Here is a 19,194-nt window from a genome sequence, read left to right on the forward strand (position 1 = left end):
GATGGGGTTTCACCATGTTGACCAGGCTGGTCTAGAACTCTTGACCTCAGGTGATCCGCCCGCCTCCCAAAGTGCTGGGATTGCAGGCCTGAGCCTCTTATCACACTTTTATGGTAAATGTTCATTAGAATGTTTTACAGACAAGGTGGCCAATAAATAAAGATTGCTATCAAAACTGTTTATTAATACCAATCACTCTCGGATTCACTTTAAATATATTTAACTTCGACCTAAAAGGAAGAAGCTGAGGCAAAATTAATGTAAGTAGAGAGTTTATTTGGGCCAGGCTTGAGGATTGCAACCCCAGAATATAGACTGACGTTGCCCTGACTGTACACACAGATTAGCAGCAGTTATAAGTGCATTTTTAAAGACTGAAAGGGGGAACAGGGAGTGTACTGATACAAAGTTGTTTGTCAGGAATTGTCCTTGATTTACAGAAACAACATTGGTTCGTGATTGGCTATCCATTGTTGAGCTATGCATTATTAGGTTAATTTGCAGCTGCTTGTGGCAATAGCAATCAGTTTCAACAGTTGAAGACATAGCTCAAAAGGGAGGGGGAGTAGAAAGTGATTGCTGTATCGTTTTAATGTCTCTCTGGGCCTGATAATAAAGACTTGCATCCCTCAGATAAAAGTTATTTTCTCAGTAACTTAGCATAAAGTATTAAGTTAACATGAGTTTTGTCGTACAATGTGTATTATGTTTGAATGAGTAATATATTTGTTTTGTCAATTTAACTTTGAATCTTGGCCCTGAAGGAAGAGGCCACAGTTGTCCCATTCTGCCCCACCACCTTTTGGGCTGATTTGTCATTGGTCAAAGGAATGCTAGTGGAAATAATGTGTGAGCCCTAGCAACTCTCCTTTTCCTCCTCCCAGTTCTTGAGACTCTTAGTAGAGCTTTTGGAGACTGAATGAGAGTTGTTGAGTTATTGGTTAACTCATTGTGCTTGACGGAAAGTAAAAAGCAAACAAAGACCACACTTCTTCAGTTGCTCCTAACGTTTTAAGAGTTTCGAGTTGCCTCTTTGCAGTTGCAGCTTCCAAGGGAAATTGTTTCTCAGGAAAATATGTGGGAGGTTAAAAAAAAATGCTTGAGGAAATGTAATTTCAAATTATTAGTAAACATAACATTGAACTTAAAAAAAAAACAAGGCCGGGTGTGGTGGCTCACGCCTGTAATCCCAGCACTTTGGGAGGCCGAGGCGGGCAAATCATGAGGTTCCGAGTTCGAGACCAGCCTGACCAACATAGTGAAACTCCATCTCTACTAAAAATACAAAAAAATAGGCATGGTGGCACGTGCCTGTAGTCCCAGCTACTCCAGAGGCTGAGCCCGGAGAATCACGTGAACCTGGGAGGCGGAGGTTGTGGTGAGCTGAGATCGTGCCGCTACACTCCAGCCCGGGCAACAGAGCGAGACTCCCGTCTCAGAAAAAAAAAAAAAAAACCATTAACCTTGAGCTACTAAAATTACACAGCCAGTTGGTTCCATGGTGCAGAGATGGTGAAGTAGTAACCCTTAGCATGTAGTAGGTACTTAGATTTGTGTTGACTAACAGTAGTGGGCCTGGGGGTTGCAAAACTGAAGGTGAGCCAGTTATGCTATAGATAAAGTTGCTATAACAAAGAAACGCAAAACTGCAGGAAGGTAGAAGTTTATTTCTTTCCTGTTAACAGTTCAGGGAGTGTTGGCCAACATTGTTCCTTGAGGCCATCCAGAGACCCAGGCTGGGGGGTGGGGGTGTAGCTCCACCATCCCAAATATTGTGCATGGATTCCTTCTCTGGGTTCTAAGGAGGCTGCCTCCTTTATGTTTGTCTTCATGGTGGAGACATTACCAGCACCATGTTTGTGTCCTGGCCTGCTGTAAGGGAGAAAGGGGTATCTGGAGGACAAGGAGCTTTATTTTTTTAAGGATGTGAAATGGAAAATGCACACATCACTTTCACTTACATCCCAGTAACCAAAAACAAGACATGTGACTTAGCTGTGAGGGAGGCTAGGAGATGTTTCTTTCTTTTTTTTTTTTTTTTGAGACTGAGTCTGGCTCTGTTGCCCAGGCTGGAGTGCAGTGGTGCAATCTCGGCTCACTGCAAGCTCCGCCTCCCAGGTTCACGCCATTCTCCTGCCTCAGCCTCCCGAGTAGCTGGGACTACAGGCACCCGCCACCAGGCCCAGCTAATTTTTGTATTTTTAGTAGAGACAGGGTTTCACCATGTTAGCCAGGATGGTCTCGATCTCCTGACCTCATGATCCATCCGCCTCGGCCTCCCAAAGTGCTGGGATTACAGGCATGAACCATTGTGCTTGGCCGATTTCTTTTAACAGATACACCTAACTTATTAAAGTCTGGGGTTAATAATATCTTTGTCTTTCTTTTAAAGAATACAAGTCCTTTAACTCCAGTCGTTTCTCTCTTGTATTTTAGTGTCCTTTTCTAAGTTCCCAAACACATCAATTTACAATTAATGTTTGTTTAGAATTACCCGCATGTTTGCATCCCTCTTTCTCCATTACTCCTTTTTTCTTTTTGTAACCACTATAATTCTTACTTAAAAATGATTTATTTATTTATTTTTTTAGACAGAGTCTCACTTTGTCGCCCAGGCTGGAGAGCGCACTGGCATGATCTCGGCTCACTGCAACCTCTTCTCCCAGGTTCAAGTGATTCTCCTGCGCCAGCCTCCCAAGTAGCTGAGATTATAGGCACCTGCCAACATGCCCAGCTAATTTTTGTATTTCTTTTTTAAAATAAAAGGTCTCATATTTATGACCGAACCCAGCCAACCAACACATTCATAATGATTCAGAGAGAAAAAATATATTCCCAATAAAACGTCCAACTGTCCAGATGGTGGCGCCATTTTCAGCTTGCTGTGGGAAGATGGTGATGGCCTTGACACAGTGTAAATATGTGTCATCTTGTGTGTAATTCCTTATAGATCCAGCTAGCTTCTTCTCCAGTGTCTCCTTTTGGAGTTGTACCTGATTTCATTACCAGTTGTTAATCTGAATCCACTGGGGAATGGGACATTTTTGCTTTTGTTTCTTGGCCAGGAAACAATCCTGAAAGTCTTGTGAGAAGACATGGCAAGAAGCGGAGTCAGGCACACACCACGATGGTGGAGAAAGGAAGAGATAACTAATTTTCTATTTTTAGTAGAGATGAGGTTTCACTATGTTGACCAGGCTGGTCTCCAACTCCTGACCTCAAGTGATCACCTGCCTTGGCCTCCCAGAAGTGCTGAGGTTAACAGGTATGAGCCACCACGCCTGGTCAAAAATGAATATTTTAACACCCAAAGTACACAGCCCATCATTTTCTTTTGCACCTCAGATCTGCTGTCTAGGATCATTATTCCTTTGTATGAAATATATATTCTAAAATTTCCTTTGTTAAGGGTCTGTTGGCTGCAACTTCTGACAGCCATTTTTTTTTTTTGAGATGAAGTCTAGCTCTGTTGCCCAGGTTGGAGTGCAGTGGCTCAAGCTTGGCTCACTGCAACCTCCACCTCCCGGGTTCAAGCGAATCTTCTGCCTCAGCCTCCTGAGTAGCTGAGACTACGGGTGTCTGTCACCACGTCCGGCTAATTTTTTGTATTTTTAGTACAGACGGGGTTTCACCATGTTGACCAGGTTGGTCTCGAACTCCTGACCTCGTGATCCGCCCACCTCAGCCTCCCAAAGTGCTGGGTTTACAGGCGTGAGCTACAGCGCCCAGCCCTGACAGCCATTTTTTTGGAAAACATCTTCATTTGGTGCTCACTCTTTATTTATTTATTTATTTATTTATTTATTTATTTATTTATTTATTTATTTTGAGACGGAGTTTTGCTCTTGTTGCCCAGGCTGGAGTGCAGTGGTGTGATCTCGACTTACTGCAACCTCCGCCTCCCAGGTTCAAGCGATTGTCCTGCCTCAGCCTCCCAAGTAGCTGGGATTACAGGCAAGTGCCACCACGCCCGGCTAATTTTTTGTATTTTTAGTAGAGATGGGGTTTCACCATGTTGGCCAGGCTGGTCTTGAATCCCTACCTTAGGTGATCCGCCCACCTTGGCCTCCCAAAGTGCTGGGATTACAAGTGTGAGCCACCACGCCTGGCCTGTTTTTTTGAGGTAGAGTCTCTCTTGCCCAGGCTGGAGCGCAGTGGTGTGACCATGGCTCACTGCAGCCTTGACATCCTAGGCTCAAATGATCCTCCCTCCTCAGCCTCTGAAGTAGGTGGAACCTGACATACCCTACCATACCTGGCTAATTTTTTTTTTTTTTTTTGAGAGACGGAGATTTGGTCTTATTGTCCAGGCTGGAGTGCAATGGTGTGATCTCGGCTCATCGCAACCCCTGCCTCCCGGGTTCAAGCAATTCTTCTCCCGAGTAGCTGGGATTACAGGCATGCACCATCATACCTGGCTAATTTTTTTTGTATTTTTAGTAGAGATGGGATTTCTCCATGTTGGTCAGGCTGGTCTCGAACTCCTGACCTCAGGTGATCTGCCTGCCTCGGCCTCCCAAAGTGCTGGGATTACAGGCATGAGCCACCTTGCCCGGCCCTCTTTCCACCTTTTTGTACCCATTAACCTTCTGCCTCGTCACTCCCCACTACCCTTCCCAGCCTCTGGTAACCATCCTTCTACTCTCTAGCTACGTGAGTTCAATGGTTTAAAGTTTTAGCTCCCACAAATATGTGAAAACATGCAAAGTTTGGTTTCCTGTGCCTGGCTTATTTCACTTTACATAATGACCTCCAGTTCCATCCATGTTGTTGCAAATGACAAGATCTCATTATGGCTGAATAGTACTCCATTCTGTATATGTAACACAGTTTCTTTATCCATTCACCTGTTGACAGACATTTAGGTTGCTTACAAATCTTGGCTATTGTGAATAGTGCTGCAGTAAAATGGGAGTGCAGCTATTTTTTTTTTGATAAGCTTATTTCCTTTCTTTTGAGTATATACCTAGGTGTGGGATTGCTGCATTGTATGATAGCTCTATTTTTAGTTTTTTGAGGAACCTCCAAACTGTTCTCCATAGTGGTTGTATAATTTTTTTTTTTTTTTTAGACAGAGTCTCACTCTGTCGCCAGGCTGGAGTACAGTGGCGTGATCCTGGCTCACTGCAACCTCCACCTCCTGGGTTCAAGCAATTCTCCTGCCTCAGCTTCCTGAGTAGCTGGGACTAAAGGCACATACCACCATGCCTGGCTAATTTTTGTATTTTTAGTAGAGATGGAGTTTCACTATGTTGGCCAGGCTGGTCTCGAACTCCCGACCTTGTGATCTGCCCGCCTCACTCTCCTAAAGTGCTGGGATCCAGGCATGAGCCACCGTGCCTGGCCTTAATTTTTGTATTTTTAGTGGAAATGGGGTTTCACCACATTGGCCAGGGTAGTCTCAAACTCCTGATCTCAAGTTATCTGCCCGCCTCAGCTTCTCAAAGTGTTGGACTATGGGCGTGAGCCACTGCGCCCAGCTGGTTTTGTGTTTTGAGACAAAGTCTGGCTCTATTGCCCAGGCTGGAGTGCAGTGGCACAGTCTTGGCTCACCGCAACTTTCGCCTCCTGGGTTCAAGCAGTTCTCGTGTCTCAACTTCCCGAGTAGCTGGGATTACAGGTGTGTGCCACTGAGCCCGTCCTAGCTTTTTGTTTTTTTGAGACAGGGGTCTCACTTTATTTCCCAGGTTGGAGTGCAGTGGTGCAATCACGCCTCATTGCAACCTCGGACCTTTCAGCTCAAGTAGTTTTCCCACCTCAGCCTCCCGAGTAGCTGGGACCACAGGCACACACCACACCCAGCTATTTTTACAAATTATTGTTTGTAGAAACAGGGTCTTGCTTGTTTGCCCAGTCTGGTCTCGAGCTTCTGGGTTCAAGCGAGCCACTTGCCTTGGCCTCCCAAAGTGCTGGGATTACAGGCATGAGCCACCATGCCTGGTTGATACTTTTTTGTGCACAGAGTTTAGGTCTCCATTGTCCATCCTGAACTCGGCTCTGGGCTGGGCCTCTCTCTTCATATTCAAATATTTAAAATGTTCTTTAAGACATGAAAGGGAGCACAGTCATTTTCTGCCTCCACACCCTGTCCCTCCATGTCTCCCAGTAGGTCTTTGCCTCTTCTGGGGGCCATCCTTTGCCTTCTGTCCATTGTCTAGACATCCTTCTTGTTAATTACGTGCACCCTGTGTTCTTTGAGTACGTAATGGTGTCTTAGCCTGAGAATGAACACCAGAACCGACTGAAGTTCACTCAGAGAAATTGGGATTGCTTCTGCTGGTGTGGCAGATCGTTTTGCACGCTAGCCCCTTGTCAGATTGGGAGTGCTGTCTGGAGCACTCCCTTGAAAGGAATTTTGAGCTTGCTGCCAGGGATTGGTTTAGCAGAGTTGGCCAGGGCCTGTGAATGGGGTGTGGTGGCTTCTTGGGAGGAACCTGGGTTACTGGTAAGAGCGTATATGGCATTTGTAATCAAAGCACCAACAATTGAATGTCAGTTGAAAACTTTATGCACCTGTATTTTATGAACATGGTATGTGCATATTTCCCTGAAGTCTGAGTCCTCATCTGTAGAATGGTGTAGTAATGATCAGACTTGATAGGGAGGCAGCACTGTTTTTATAATATAAAATGGTGCATATGGGGATGGTGGTTTCTTAGTTTAGTTCATCACCTATGAGGAAGACGTCCTAAAAGGATGGTACTGTTGACTGAACTGGTGAATCAGAAAGACCTGGTTGAATTTGGGGGGAAAAACTTCCATAATATATTAAAAAATTATATCTGTTGAAATGAGGCTCTAATAAAAGATACAACATCCATTTTACTCCTTAAACTTTTTCCCTCAGAGTCTATAACCAAAGAGACCATCCTTTGACTTAGAAGTTCAGCAACTTACAACATGGCCGCCATTATAGTCCAACTCCAAGGATTGCCAAGAGTGGCTCATTTTCCTGCTTGTGTGCTGTAGAGTTTTTCTTAACAGTTGGTTCTTTTTTATTTTTATTTTTTTGATACAAGATCACAGTTTGTCACCCAGGCTGGAGTGCAGTGGCACCATCTCCACTCACTACATCCTTGACCTCCTGGGCTCCAGGTCCCTGCCACCCCAGCTCCCCAGGCAGCTGGGACTACAGGTGCGAGCCACCACAACCAGCTAATTATTTGTATTTTTTGTAGATATGGGTTTCACCATGTTGTTCAGGCTGGTCTCAAACTCCTGAGCTCAAATGATCCACCTCCCTTGGCCTCCCAAAGTGCTGGGATTACAGGTGTGAGCCGCCGTGCCTAGCCTAACAGTCAATTTTTTTTTTATTTTTTATTTTTTTCCTTTTTTGAGACTAAATCTCTCTCTGTAGCGCAGGCTGCATTGCAGTGGCACGATCTCGGCTCACTGCAACCTCTGCCTCCCAGGTCCAAGTGATTCTTCTGTTTCAGCCTCCCAAGTAGCTGGGATTACAGGCTCCTGGCACCACACGTGGCTGTTTTGTATTTTTAGTAGAGAGAGGATTTCACCATGTTGGCCAGGCTGGTTTCGAACTCCTGACCTCAAGTGATCCGCCCTCCTCAGTCTTCCAAAGTGCTGGGATTACAGGCGTGAGCCATTGCGCCCAGCATAACAGTCAATTAGTCACTTAATCTGATACCCTAAAATTGTTTGTGCTATAATTTTTCTCTCTCAGGATGTTTAGGTCTGTTACTTTCTGGTGTTAATAGTGTCACCTCAGAAATCATACAAAGGATACAACAGATTTGAAAATAATAACTAGAAACTCTAGAATGAAAAAAAAATACTGTTGTTGATAAGGTAACAGAATTTGTGTTCACTCTGAATAGAACATCCAATTTATTATTTTCCCCACTAGATAATAGGCTGCCTTGAGGGCTTTGCCATAATATATATGTGATGCTTAGCATTGTGCCTGGCATATATTTGTGGCACAATAGATTAATTTTTGAATAACTGAATGAATGAGTTAATGAATGTTATAGCGTTTATTCTACATTTTACTTGGCTGTTGATGTATGTTTCTTCCACTGGACTAATGTTGGGCACAGGGACCGTGTCTTTTTTTTAAACCATTTTTCTGTTCAGAAAAAAAAAGGTTTAGCTCGCCCCCAGCACTCATTTAATTTTGTATAAACACCCTATGAGGCTGAAGCAAATCTGAGTGATTTTCATTGTAAAATAAAATAAAAATTGTTCTTGGAATTATTTCTAAACAGAATATCAGTATTGTCTATTTCAGAAAAATCGGATTGTTCAAATGAATCTTCGGCCAACAGCTGTTCAAGAGTGATGTCAACATCATCCATAGGAATGCTGTTTTGTAGGATTTGACACTTCAGCGATAGAGAATTAGTATATTTTGTACATGGAAATACCACCATTAAAAATGAATGCTGTAAACAGAATGTCTATCGTTTCCCAAATTGATATACTAGAAGAATGTGAAAATAATAATAAAAGCAAGATTTTTGTGGCAAACTTATCTCAGGATAAACACTGCAGCTGCTAGGGCTGCTGGCAAGTATTCTTGGGACTAATGGGACAAGGGTTAAGAGTTGGGGTTCTTGCTCTGTCGCCCAGGCTGGGGAGCAGTGGCACCATCATAGCTCACTGCAGCCTTGAACTCATGGGCTCAAGAATTAACTCTCACCCCAGCCTGCCAAGTAGCTAGGACTGCAGGCATACACCACCAAACCCAGCTAATTGTTTTTTGTTTTTTGTTTTTTTTGACAGAATCTTGCTCTGTTGCCCAGGCTGGAATGCAATGGTGCAGTCTTGCCTCACTGCAGCCTCTGCCTTCTGGGTTCAAACTGTTCTCCTGCCTCAGCCTCCCAAGTAGCTGGGATTACCAGCACCTGCCATCACACCTGGCTAATTTTTGTATTTTTAGTAGAGATGAGGTTTCACCATGTTAGCCAGGCTGATCTTGAACTCCTGAGCTCAGGTGAACCGCCCGCCTTGGCCTCCCAAAGTGGTGGGATTACAGGTGTGAGCCACTGCACCCGGCCCAAACCTAGCTAATTTAAAATTTTTTAATAAATATAAAAATTAGCTCATCTTGAACTTTTGGCCTCTAGCAGTCCTCCCACTTCAGCCTCCGAAAGTGCTGGGATTGCAAGCGTGAACCACCATGACCAGCTTGGGACCATGTCTTAATCATTTTTGTACAACCCAGTTTCAATCAGAATGTTGGGCACATAGTAGGTGAACTAATTTTAGTGAATTTCTTAGGCAAATAGGATTTTACAATAAATCTAATTTCCCCCCAGAATATATTTACCATATTTATTTGAATTGAAATAACAAGCATGGGAAGAAGTTTATTTTGATATCAGAACAGGACCATAGTGAGAGTCTGATTGAAACTTCCCTTTGATTTGCCCATTGAAATTGAGTCCAAATGAGAGGCATACCTGCCATTAATAGCTTTTATTTTATTTTAATTTTATTTATTTATTTTGAGATGGAGTCTCGCTCTGTCACCCACGCTGGAGTGCAATGGCGTGATCTTGGCTCACTGCAACCTCCACCTCCCATGTTCAAGTGATTCTCCTGCCTCAGCCTCCTGAGTAGCTGGGATTACAGGCACCCGCCACCATGCCCGGCTAATTTTTGTATTTTTAAGAGACAAGGTTTGACCATGTTGTGCAGGTTGGTCTCAAACTCCTGACCTCAGGTGATCCACCTGCCTCAGCCTCCCAAAGTGCTGGGATTACAGGCGTGAGCCGCCATGCCCAGCCCCATTAATAACTTTTAGAAAAAATTTCCAAATACTGGAATATAGAAATTAGCCAAGTATCAGAAAACAGCAAATCAGATTATAATGTTTATTTATTATTATTTTTTGAGACAGAATCTCACTTTGTCACTCAGAGTGCAGTGTGGTAGCATGATCATAGCTCACTGGAGCCGCAACCTCCTGAGCTTAGGCAATCTACCTGCGTCAGCCTCCAGAGTAGCTGGGACCACAGGTGCCTACCACCACACCTGGCTAAATATTATTATTATTTGTCTCATTATGTTGCCCAGGCTAGTCTTGAACTCCTGGTCTCAGTGGATCCTTACTCTTCAGCCTGTCAAAAATTGCTGGGATTACAGGAGTAAGCCACCCACACCTGGCCTATTTTTTAAATTGTGAATCATTTTTACTGATTATTGTACGTTTACATAAAAGGACGTAAAATATAAACAGCTAAGCTATCACTAAGCAAAGACCCCTGTATCTTATCACTCAAGACTTTCTATTAATGGTTTGCCGTAGAGTTTATATATCTTTGACTTTTAAGAAAGTCTAACACTGGCTGGGCGTGGTGGCTCACACCTGTAATCCCAGCATCTTGGGGGGCTGAGGTGGGTGGATCGCTTGAGGTCAGGAGTTTGAGACCAGCCTGGCCAACATGGTGAAACCCTGTCTCTACTAAAAATAGAAAAATTAGCTGAGTGTGGTGGCACTTGCCTGTAGTCCCAGCTACTCTGGAGGCTGAGGTGGGAGAATTGCTTGAACCCCAGAGGCCGAGATTGCCCCACTGCACTCCAGCCTCAGCGACAAAGTGAGACTCTGTCTTTAAAAAAAAAAAAAAAAAAAAAAGATCTAACACTAATTGGTACTTTTGATCTCTTCCTAGACAATGCAAGGACCTTAGCTTAGTTCATTTCCAATCACACCTCCTCTTGATTTATTTGCTGTTTTCCCCACTCACCTTTGTTGCCCAGGCTGGAGTGCAGAGGCGCAGTCTTAGCTTACCGCAGCCTCAACCTCCCGGGCTCAAGCGATCCTCTTGCCTTGGCCCCCCCAGTAGCTGGGACTACAGGCATGCGCCACCCTATCCGCTTAGTTTTTGTGTGTTTTGGTAGAGATGGGGATTCACCGTGTTGGCCAGGCTGGTCTCCGATTCCTGACCTCAAGTGATCTACCTGCCTCGAGCTCCCAAAGTGCTGGGATTATAAGCACCAGCCAGTTATTTCTTGATTATATGCTAAACAATGAGTGGATTATTCATGAGTCTAATTTTTATGGAGATGGAGTCTTACTATGTTGTCCAGGCTGATCTCCTGGACTCAAGCAGTCATCCTGCCTGGGCTTCCTTAAGTGTTGGGATTACAAGTATGAGCCACTGTGCTTGTCCGGATCCTTGAATTAATATTATTTCACTCTGATGTTTCTCCCTTGTTATATCTATTTCCAGGTTTGATTTGAATGCCTGGACAGATTTGTTTATTATTGATCATTGTCTTAGCATGTTAGTTGTTATTTTATGCTTACATTATGCTTACATTAGACAATTTGGGGGAAAAAAGGACCTAGTTTATAATCATTGTATGTTGTAGTGCTTTTTACCTATGATTTATACATGTGAGCACATTACAGATAGAAATGTCCGGGCACGTCCGGGCGCAGTGACTCATTCCTGTAATCCCAGCACTTTGGGAGGCTGTGGTGGGCAGATCACCTGAGGTCAGGAGTTCGAGACCAGTCTGGCCAACATGGTAAAACCCCTTCTCTACTAAAAATACAAAAATTAGCTGGATGTGGTAGCCGGCACTTGTAATCCCAGCTACTCAGGAGGCTGAGGCAGGAGATTCGCTTGAACCCAGGAGGCAGAGGTTGCAGTGAGCTGAGATTGTGCCATTGCACTCCAGCTTGCGTGACAGAGTGAGACTCTATCTCAATAAATAAATAAATCTCAATAAATAATAAAATAAAGAAATGGCCGGGTACAATGGCTCATGCTTGTGATCCCAGCACTTTGGGAGGCTTCTGTGGGAGCATCGCTTAAACCCAGGAGTTTGAGACCAGGTCGAGTAATATAGTGAGATCCTGTCTCAAATAAAAAACTAGATATTAATAATAAAATTGGAATTACAACTTTTTTTTTTTTTGAGATGAAGTTTTGTTCTTATTGCGCAGGCTGGAGTGCAACGGTGCGACCTCGGCTCACTGAAACCTCTGCTTCCCAGGTTGAAGCGATTCTCCTGCCTCAGCCTTCCGAGTAGCTGGGATTACAGACATGCGCCACCACGCACGGCTAATTTTCTATTTTAGTAGAGAAGAGGTTTCTCCATGTTGGTTAGCCTGGTCTCGAACTCCCGACCTCAGGTGCTCCTCCTGCCTCATCCTCCCAAAGTGCTGGGATTACAGGAGTGAGCCACCGCGCCCGGCTGGAATTACAACTTTTTAATACTGTGCTTTTCATTTAGTGTGATTCTGTGAACATTTTCTTGTCATTAACATTTTAAAAAATAAGATTTTAATGCTTGTATAGGATTCTGTTACTTGGCTTTAATATTCAGTCATTCTACTTTTGTTTCAAGTTTTCACTATTATACATAAGTCTGCAGTGATCATTTTTGGATACAACCTGTGTAAATTTCTGATCGTTGTTTAATTACTGTATCAGTGGGTTTGAATGTTCATAAGGATTTTTTTTATTGAGGCTTTTAAAAAGGAGAGCTGACAATTACATTTTCAGTTGTTTAGATTCAAGCTGCAAGTCTCTTATTTGGGATCTGATAGATGACTTATGGGTGAAAAGGACTTTGAATTCCTGGAACATATTCAGGGGCCTAACACCACTTTAGAAATTGGACAGAAGTTGGATTTATTTACATGTGGAAGTAATCATTGTTAAGAACAAGGAAAAATATGTGACATCACAGGATCAGTTTGTAAATAGAACAGGAACAGTTTGCTCATAACATAAAAAAACAGACAATGAAAACCCAAATATAAGTGAGCATTAGCTGAATTAGAGCATAAGTGTGTCCCCTCTTTTGCATTTAGATCAACTGTGGGCATTATGTATTCTGCTCCTGGCAAGCCTGAGCGTCGTCTTGGTTCTCATTTGTGGTGTTTTATTCTTGGTTAGAATGGATGATTGAGTGATTGCCATTTTCGCTCTTTCAGGAAGTTCTTACCCAGTGTTGTTGGGGCTTTGACTCATGTTTGACCTTTTCTATCTGTCTGGGTTTAGTAGCTACCATGGCTAATCCTACCCCCAACCCCTTTGCACAGACATAGGTCCTCATGGCTCCCCATTTTCTATTCACATCATTCATGGTGTGCCAGATTCCCATCCAACAATTGAGGTTTTATATAATAATAATACAGTAGATATGTGGTGGTTCACAGACCTTCTTATATTAGGAAAATTCCACACTGATTAAAAGTCACAGTGGTGAGTCATTTGTGATGTGTAATGAGCTTACCTGTCATATCTTTGTTTTATCTGTGTCCCCTCTATCTGGACGGCCTCGCGAAGAACCAGGGCACCTGGACAGGGACTTGGTCCCCCGAGAGAAAGAACACAGGGCTAGAGGTAGAGTGGGTGATAATAGTTACTGCAGCATTTATGACACTGGCAGGTTTAGGACCCAGGACCCACTCTGGAGTAAGAAGGACACACTGAGCCAGCAGCCAGGACTCTGTTGTCAGATACCATGTGATGTGTTACAGAGATGGAGCAGGAGAGGGCAGAAAGGCATGTAAGTATCTGACAGCATCAGGCTGTCAGAACTCCAGTAGCAAACAGAAAAACAGGGCACACATGAATACCACAGGGCAAGTACAAAGAGAAGGGTTAGAGGCCAGATGGATAAGCTAAAAATAGGATTATCTGGACATCCTGCAGTACTTTCAGCACAGTGTATCTAAAATCGACGTCGTCATAGTCCTTCCACTGACCTTTTCCATTTCTGATAATGACAAGATACATCCTGTCACCAGGCTTGAAGTCTTAGGTCTTCTTTGCTTCTTTTTCTGTGTTCTTTGCTTGTAGTCAGTTACTGTATCTCTAGTAATTCTGCCTCCATGTGGAAAGGTCTTGGGGTTCCAACCTTGGCTCTCCCACACATAGGCCCTAAGATAAAGTCACTAAACCTCACCACCTAACATGGAAGAAGACCATCTCACAGGGTTGTCATGAGAATTGGAGATGAAATGCCCTATTACTTCTTAGCCAGACTATTGTAGGTGTTTCCAGGGTCAAAGGAGAAAAATTACAACAATTTAGTTTTAAGATCTTAATTGGCTTTCTAGAATTGGGCAACACTTCATCTCATAAAATAGAGTATCCTGTGAGCTAAGCAGAGGAGCTTGGCTTTTTAGAGAGAAATGGGCTGAAGAAACCAGAAACAAAGAACTAAAAGCAGATGAGTCGTTTCAAAGGGACTTTTCTTTTAAGGCAGGGGCAGGAAGACAGAACAATACAAAAATAACATGGTTAGCATCAGGTGACTTCAGGTTATCTGAACCTGAGCACGGTGACTGCATTTTGGTTTGTAGTCTAGTATGTTGAGGCCCTATTGTGCAGGAGCTCAATCTGCAACAATGGCCGCCTATAATTTTTATTTGACACCAGATTGGATTCCTGCCTCTAATTTAGCCTTCCCACTTCTGCCAGTTTGTTCTTTCTAACAACATAGCTCTGATCATGTCATATCCTTCCTCAAAACCTTTATGGCATTTTCATTAACTATTAGAATTCCTGTCCTAGTTTCGAGGCCTCTTCACCACCTGGCCCCATCCTACATTTTTGGTTCTATCCTCTAACATTTCCTTTTATACCCCCTGACCCTGGCGTTCCAGCCACATTGAACTTGCTGTCTTGAGGAGATGTCCTTGTCTCAGTGGCATTGCTCATACTTGGAATTGTTCTTTTCCACACCTCTCAGGCTCCAAATCTTCATCTTTTGAGTTCCTGTTCAAATGCTCCCATCTCTGTTGCAGGTCCCTGCAACCCCTGACTGTAACTCTCCTTAACTTCCATGATTCTTTCTCGGAGCTCTTGTCACATTCATTGCTTTATGCTTTTTGTTTTTTGGGTACATGATGTATTTAACTTCATGTTCTGAGTCCTAGGGAGTTCTTCCTAAGCACTTAGCAAATATGTGTTGTAGGCAATTAGTAGCTATATATGATCAGTAGACTCCACGGGGGAATAATAAGCGGATTAAGAGTTGACAGGTCCCTAGGGACTGAGAGTGCGGGGAAAGCACAGGCGTAAAGCAGGTGTCTTAACACTGGCTTTAGAAGATCTAGAAAACTAGTAACCAAGAGCTTTTAACATGGTTCTTGTTAAGATGTGAAGAGGTAAGATAACTAATTTGAGTGGCTATTGTATGCCAGTCACCGGTCTAGGTATTTTATGTATATTCACTCATTTGAACTCTGGCCAGATGACATTCTTCCCTTCTGTAATATTACCCCTTGACCTCTTTTTTTTTTTTTTTTTTTTTTTTTTTGGAGATGGAGTTTTCGCTTTTGTTGCCCAGGCTAGAGTGCAACGATGCAATCTCGGCTCACGGTAACCTCCGCCTCCCGGGTTCAAGCAATTCTCCTGCCTCAGCTTCCGGAGTAGCTGGGATTACAGGCATGCACCACCATGCCCGGCTAATTTTGTATTTTTAGTGGAGACGGGGTTTCTTCATGTTGGTCAGGCTCATCTTAAACTCCTGACTTATGGTGATCTGCCCGCCTTGGCCTCCCAAAGTGCTAGGATTACAGGCATGAGCCACTGTGCCCAGCCCCGTTGACTTCTTGTTACACTTAGAATAAAATACAAAGTCAGGTGGTGGCTCGCGCATTTAATCCCAGGACTTCGGGAGGCCGGGGCAGGAGGATCACTTGAGCCTGAGAGTTCAAGACCAGTCTGGGCAACATAGTGACACACCCCATCTCTAATTAAAAAAAACAAAACAAGACTCCATAAGTAGCCCTACGGGACCCCAGACTCACACTGTACGACTTCCTCACCTTTCCATCTTCTCTGACCAGCTCCTTACCTCTGCTCCCTCCTCTAAAGCTTTTTGCCCATGAATCCCAAATTTATGTTTTTTCATTTCAGCTTTAAAACCCTACCCTGTTATGATAACAATAATGGAGTACATTGCCCTTGTGTGGTTCTTCATACTTTTTTTTTTTTTTTTGAGATGGAGTTTCGCTCTTGTTGCCCAGGCTGGAGTGCAATGGTGCCATCTCAGCTCACTGCCATCTCCGCCCCCCACTGGGTTCAAGCGATTCTCCTGCCTTGGCCTCCGGAGCAGCTGGGATTACAGGCACACACTAACATGTCCAGCTAATTTTTCTATTTTTAGCAGAGATGGGGTTTCACCACGTTGGCCAAACTGGTCTCAAACTCCTGACCTCAGGTGATCCATCTGCCTCGGCCTCCTAAAGTGCTAGGATTACAGGCCACCATGCCCAGCTCTTCATAATTTTTCAAAGCACATTCTTCTTATTTCGTTTGATCCTATTTCAGTCCACAATTTTCCACATACCTTTTCTCAAAAATAAGAGTATAGAAGAGTTGGGTGCAGTGGCTCACACCTGTAATCCCAGCACTTTGGGAGTCTGAGGCAGGCGGATCACTTGAGACCAGCCTGGCTAATATGGTGAAACGCTGTCTCTAATAAAAATACAAAAAATTAGCCAGGTGTGGTGGCAGGTGTCTGTAATCGCAGCTACAGGCTCCTACTGAGGCGGGAGAATCACTTGAACCTGGGTGGTGGAGGTTGCGGTGAGCCGAGCTTGCGCCACTGCACTCCAGCCTGGGCGACAGTGCGAAACTCCATCTCAAAAAAAAAAAAAAAAAAGTATAGAGGGATTGAAATGCCAAGAAAACTTGACAGTTTATCAAATAACATCTTTGCCATAAATCTTAATGCCAGTTGTGGGACTGGCCTGTGGCTCCTTTAAGCCTTGGAGTTGTAACAGAAAGTTTTCTTCAGATAGTTTTGTTAATCACACTGTTTAAAATGTGCTATGAAATTTCTTGGATCTTTGGAGAGAAACAAGATACTGTTATAATAATTACTGTGGAGATGTCACTGGAAAGGGGATCCAGACCCCAAGAGAGGGTTCTTGGACCTCGTGCAAGAAATAATTCAGATTGAGTCCATAGAGTAAAGTGAGTGTAAGTTTATTAAGTAAAGAAACAAAAGAATGGTTACTCCATAGGCAGAGCAGTAGCTTGGACTGCTCGACTGATAATACTATAATTATTTATTCATTATATGCTAAACAAGGGGTGGATTATTCATGAGTTTTCCAGGAAAGGGGTGGGCAATTCCCGGAAATGAGAGTTCCTCCCCATTTCAGGCCATATAGGGTAACTACCTGACGTTGCCATGGCATTTGTAAATTGTCATGGCGCTGGTGGGAGTGTCTTTTAGCATGCATGCTAATGTATTATAACTAGTGCATAATGAGAAATAAGGACAGCCAGAGCTCACTTTTGTCACCATCTTGGTTTTGATGGGTTTTGGCCGGCGTCTTTACCATCACCTGTTTTATCGGCATGGTCTTTGCGACCTGTACCTTGCACCGACCTCCTATCTCATCCTGTGACTTAGAAGGCCTAACCTCCTGGAAGTGCAGCCCAGTGGGTCTTAGCCACATTTTACCAAGCCCCTGTTCATAATGGAGTCGCTTTGGTTCAGATGCCTTTGACGGAGAAGGTAACTTTTCACTATATATTCTTTGTACAGTTCAGGTGTTTGGTTAAACACATGCTTGTAGTATCTGTTTAAATTAGTTATATGTATATGTATACTCTGGGAAGTGGCTCTTCTCATTATTACAATTTTTTTCGAAAAGCAATCAGCTTTTATTTGACAATTTGGAAAATACAGGAAGAAAAAAAGTTATTCCGGCCAGGCACGGTGCCTCACGCCTATAATCCTAGCACTTTGGGAGGCCGAGGCGGGTGGATCACGAGATCAGGAGTTCAAGACCAGCCTGACCAAGACGGTGAAACCCCATCTCTACTAAAAATACAAAAATTAGCCGGGTGTGGTGGCAGGCACTTGTAACCCCAGCTACTCGAGAGGCTGAGGCAGGAGAATCGCTTGAACCTGGCAGGTGGAGGTTGTAGTGAGCCGAGATCGTGCCACTACACTCCAGCCTGGGTGACAGAGTGAGACTCCGTCTCAAAAAAAAAAGAAAAAAAGTTACTTCGAATCCTACAATAATCCTGAAATAACCAATTGGGATTGTCATTTAAAAATGAACTTTTTTTTTTCTTCCCCTGAGACAGGGTCTCACTCTTTCACCCAGGCTGGAGGGCAGTGGCACGATCTCAGCTCACTGGAACCTCTGCCTCCCTGGTTGAAGTGATTCTCCTGCCTCAGCCTCCTGAATAGCTGGGATTACAGGCATCCACCACCATGCCCAACTAATTTGCATTTTAAGAAATAGGGTTTCACCATGTTGGCCAGGCTGGTCTCGAACTCCTAATCTCAAGTAATCCACCCACCTTGGCTTCCCAAAGTGGTGGGATTACAGGTGTGAGCCACCGTGCCGGGCCAAAAATAAACTCTTGAATGGATGTTCTGTAAAACATTTACACTTCCTTTAAACAGGTATTTCCAAGTATGTGGATTTTTGTTTATTTGGTTTTGAGGGAAGGTCTTACTATGTTGCTCAGGTTGGAGTGCAGTGGCGCATCAGCTCACTGTAGCCTCAAACTCCTGGGCTCAGGCGATCCTCCCACCTCAGCCTCCTGAGTAGCTGGGACTACAGGCATGCACCACTGTGCCTGGCTCATTTTCTTGTTTGTTGAGATGGGGTCTCACTGTGTTGCCCAGGCTTGTCTTGAACTCCTGGGCTCAACTGATCTTCCCACCTCAGCCTCCCAAAGTGCTGGGATTACAGACATGAGCCACTGTGTTCAACCCAAATATGATTTTTGTGGTAGGATATGCCATTAGTTAGTGTTGTTAGTAAGAGGCTTTTCTCTGTGTATCTTCACTCCATTTGAGAAGAGTAAAACATAGAACTGTGCCATAAGTTTCTGAACTTAGAATAGTAAAGAAGTAACAAGCCAGTCTTGGCCTGGCCCAGTGATGCGCACCTGTAGGCCCAGCTACTTGGAAGGCAGAGGTGGGAGGATTGCTTGAGCCCAGGAGTTTGAGGCCAGCCTGGGCAATATAGACACCTTGTCTCTCAGCAGACAACAACCCAGTCTTAGCTGGTGCCTCACTTAAACTCTGCAATCCTTGCTACCCCAGCCCCATCAAAGTTAATATGTGTGTGTATTGTCCAGCAGTGACAGGAAGAATAAAGGAAATAGAAATGAAGAGGTAGAATGATCAGGATTTTGCAGTTGGTTGAGTGTGCAGGATAAAGATGGTAAACTCAGATGATCAAGTTTCGTATATGGACAGGAGACTTGTAGAGGTTAGGTTTTG

General features: G+C 43.8%; 1 protein-coding gene across 1 annotated transcript in view; it reads left to right on the top strand.

Moving 5' to 3' along the window:
• Positions 1-19,194, top strand: part of LAPTM4B (lysosomal protein transmembrane 4 beta) — a 77,226-nt gene that overhangs the window by 9,475 nt on the left and 48,557 nt on the right. The gene's annotated exons all lie outside the window — the stretch shown is intronic.

Source organism: Homo sapiens, chromosome 8, assembly GCF_000001405.40.
Source record: "Homo sapiens chromosome 8, GRCh38.p14 Primary Assembly".
In the NCBI taxonomy this organism is placed as follows: Eukaryota; Metazoa; Chordata; class Mammalia; order Primates; family Hominidae; genus Homo; species Homo sapiens.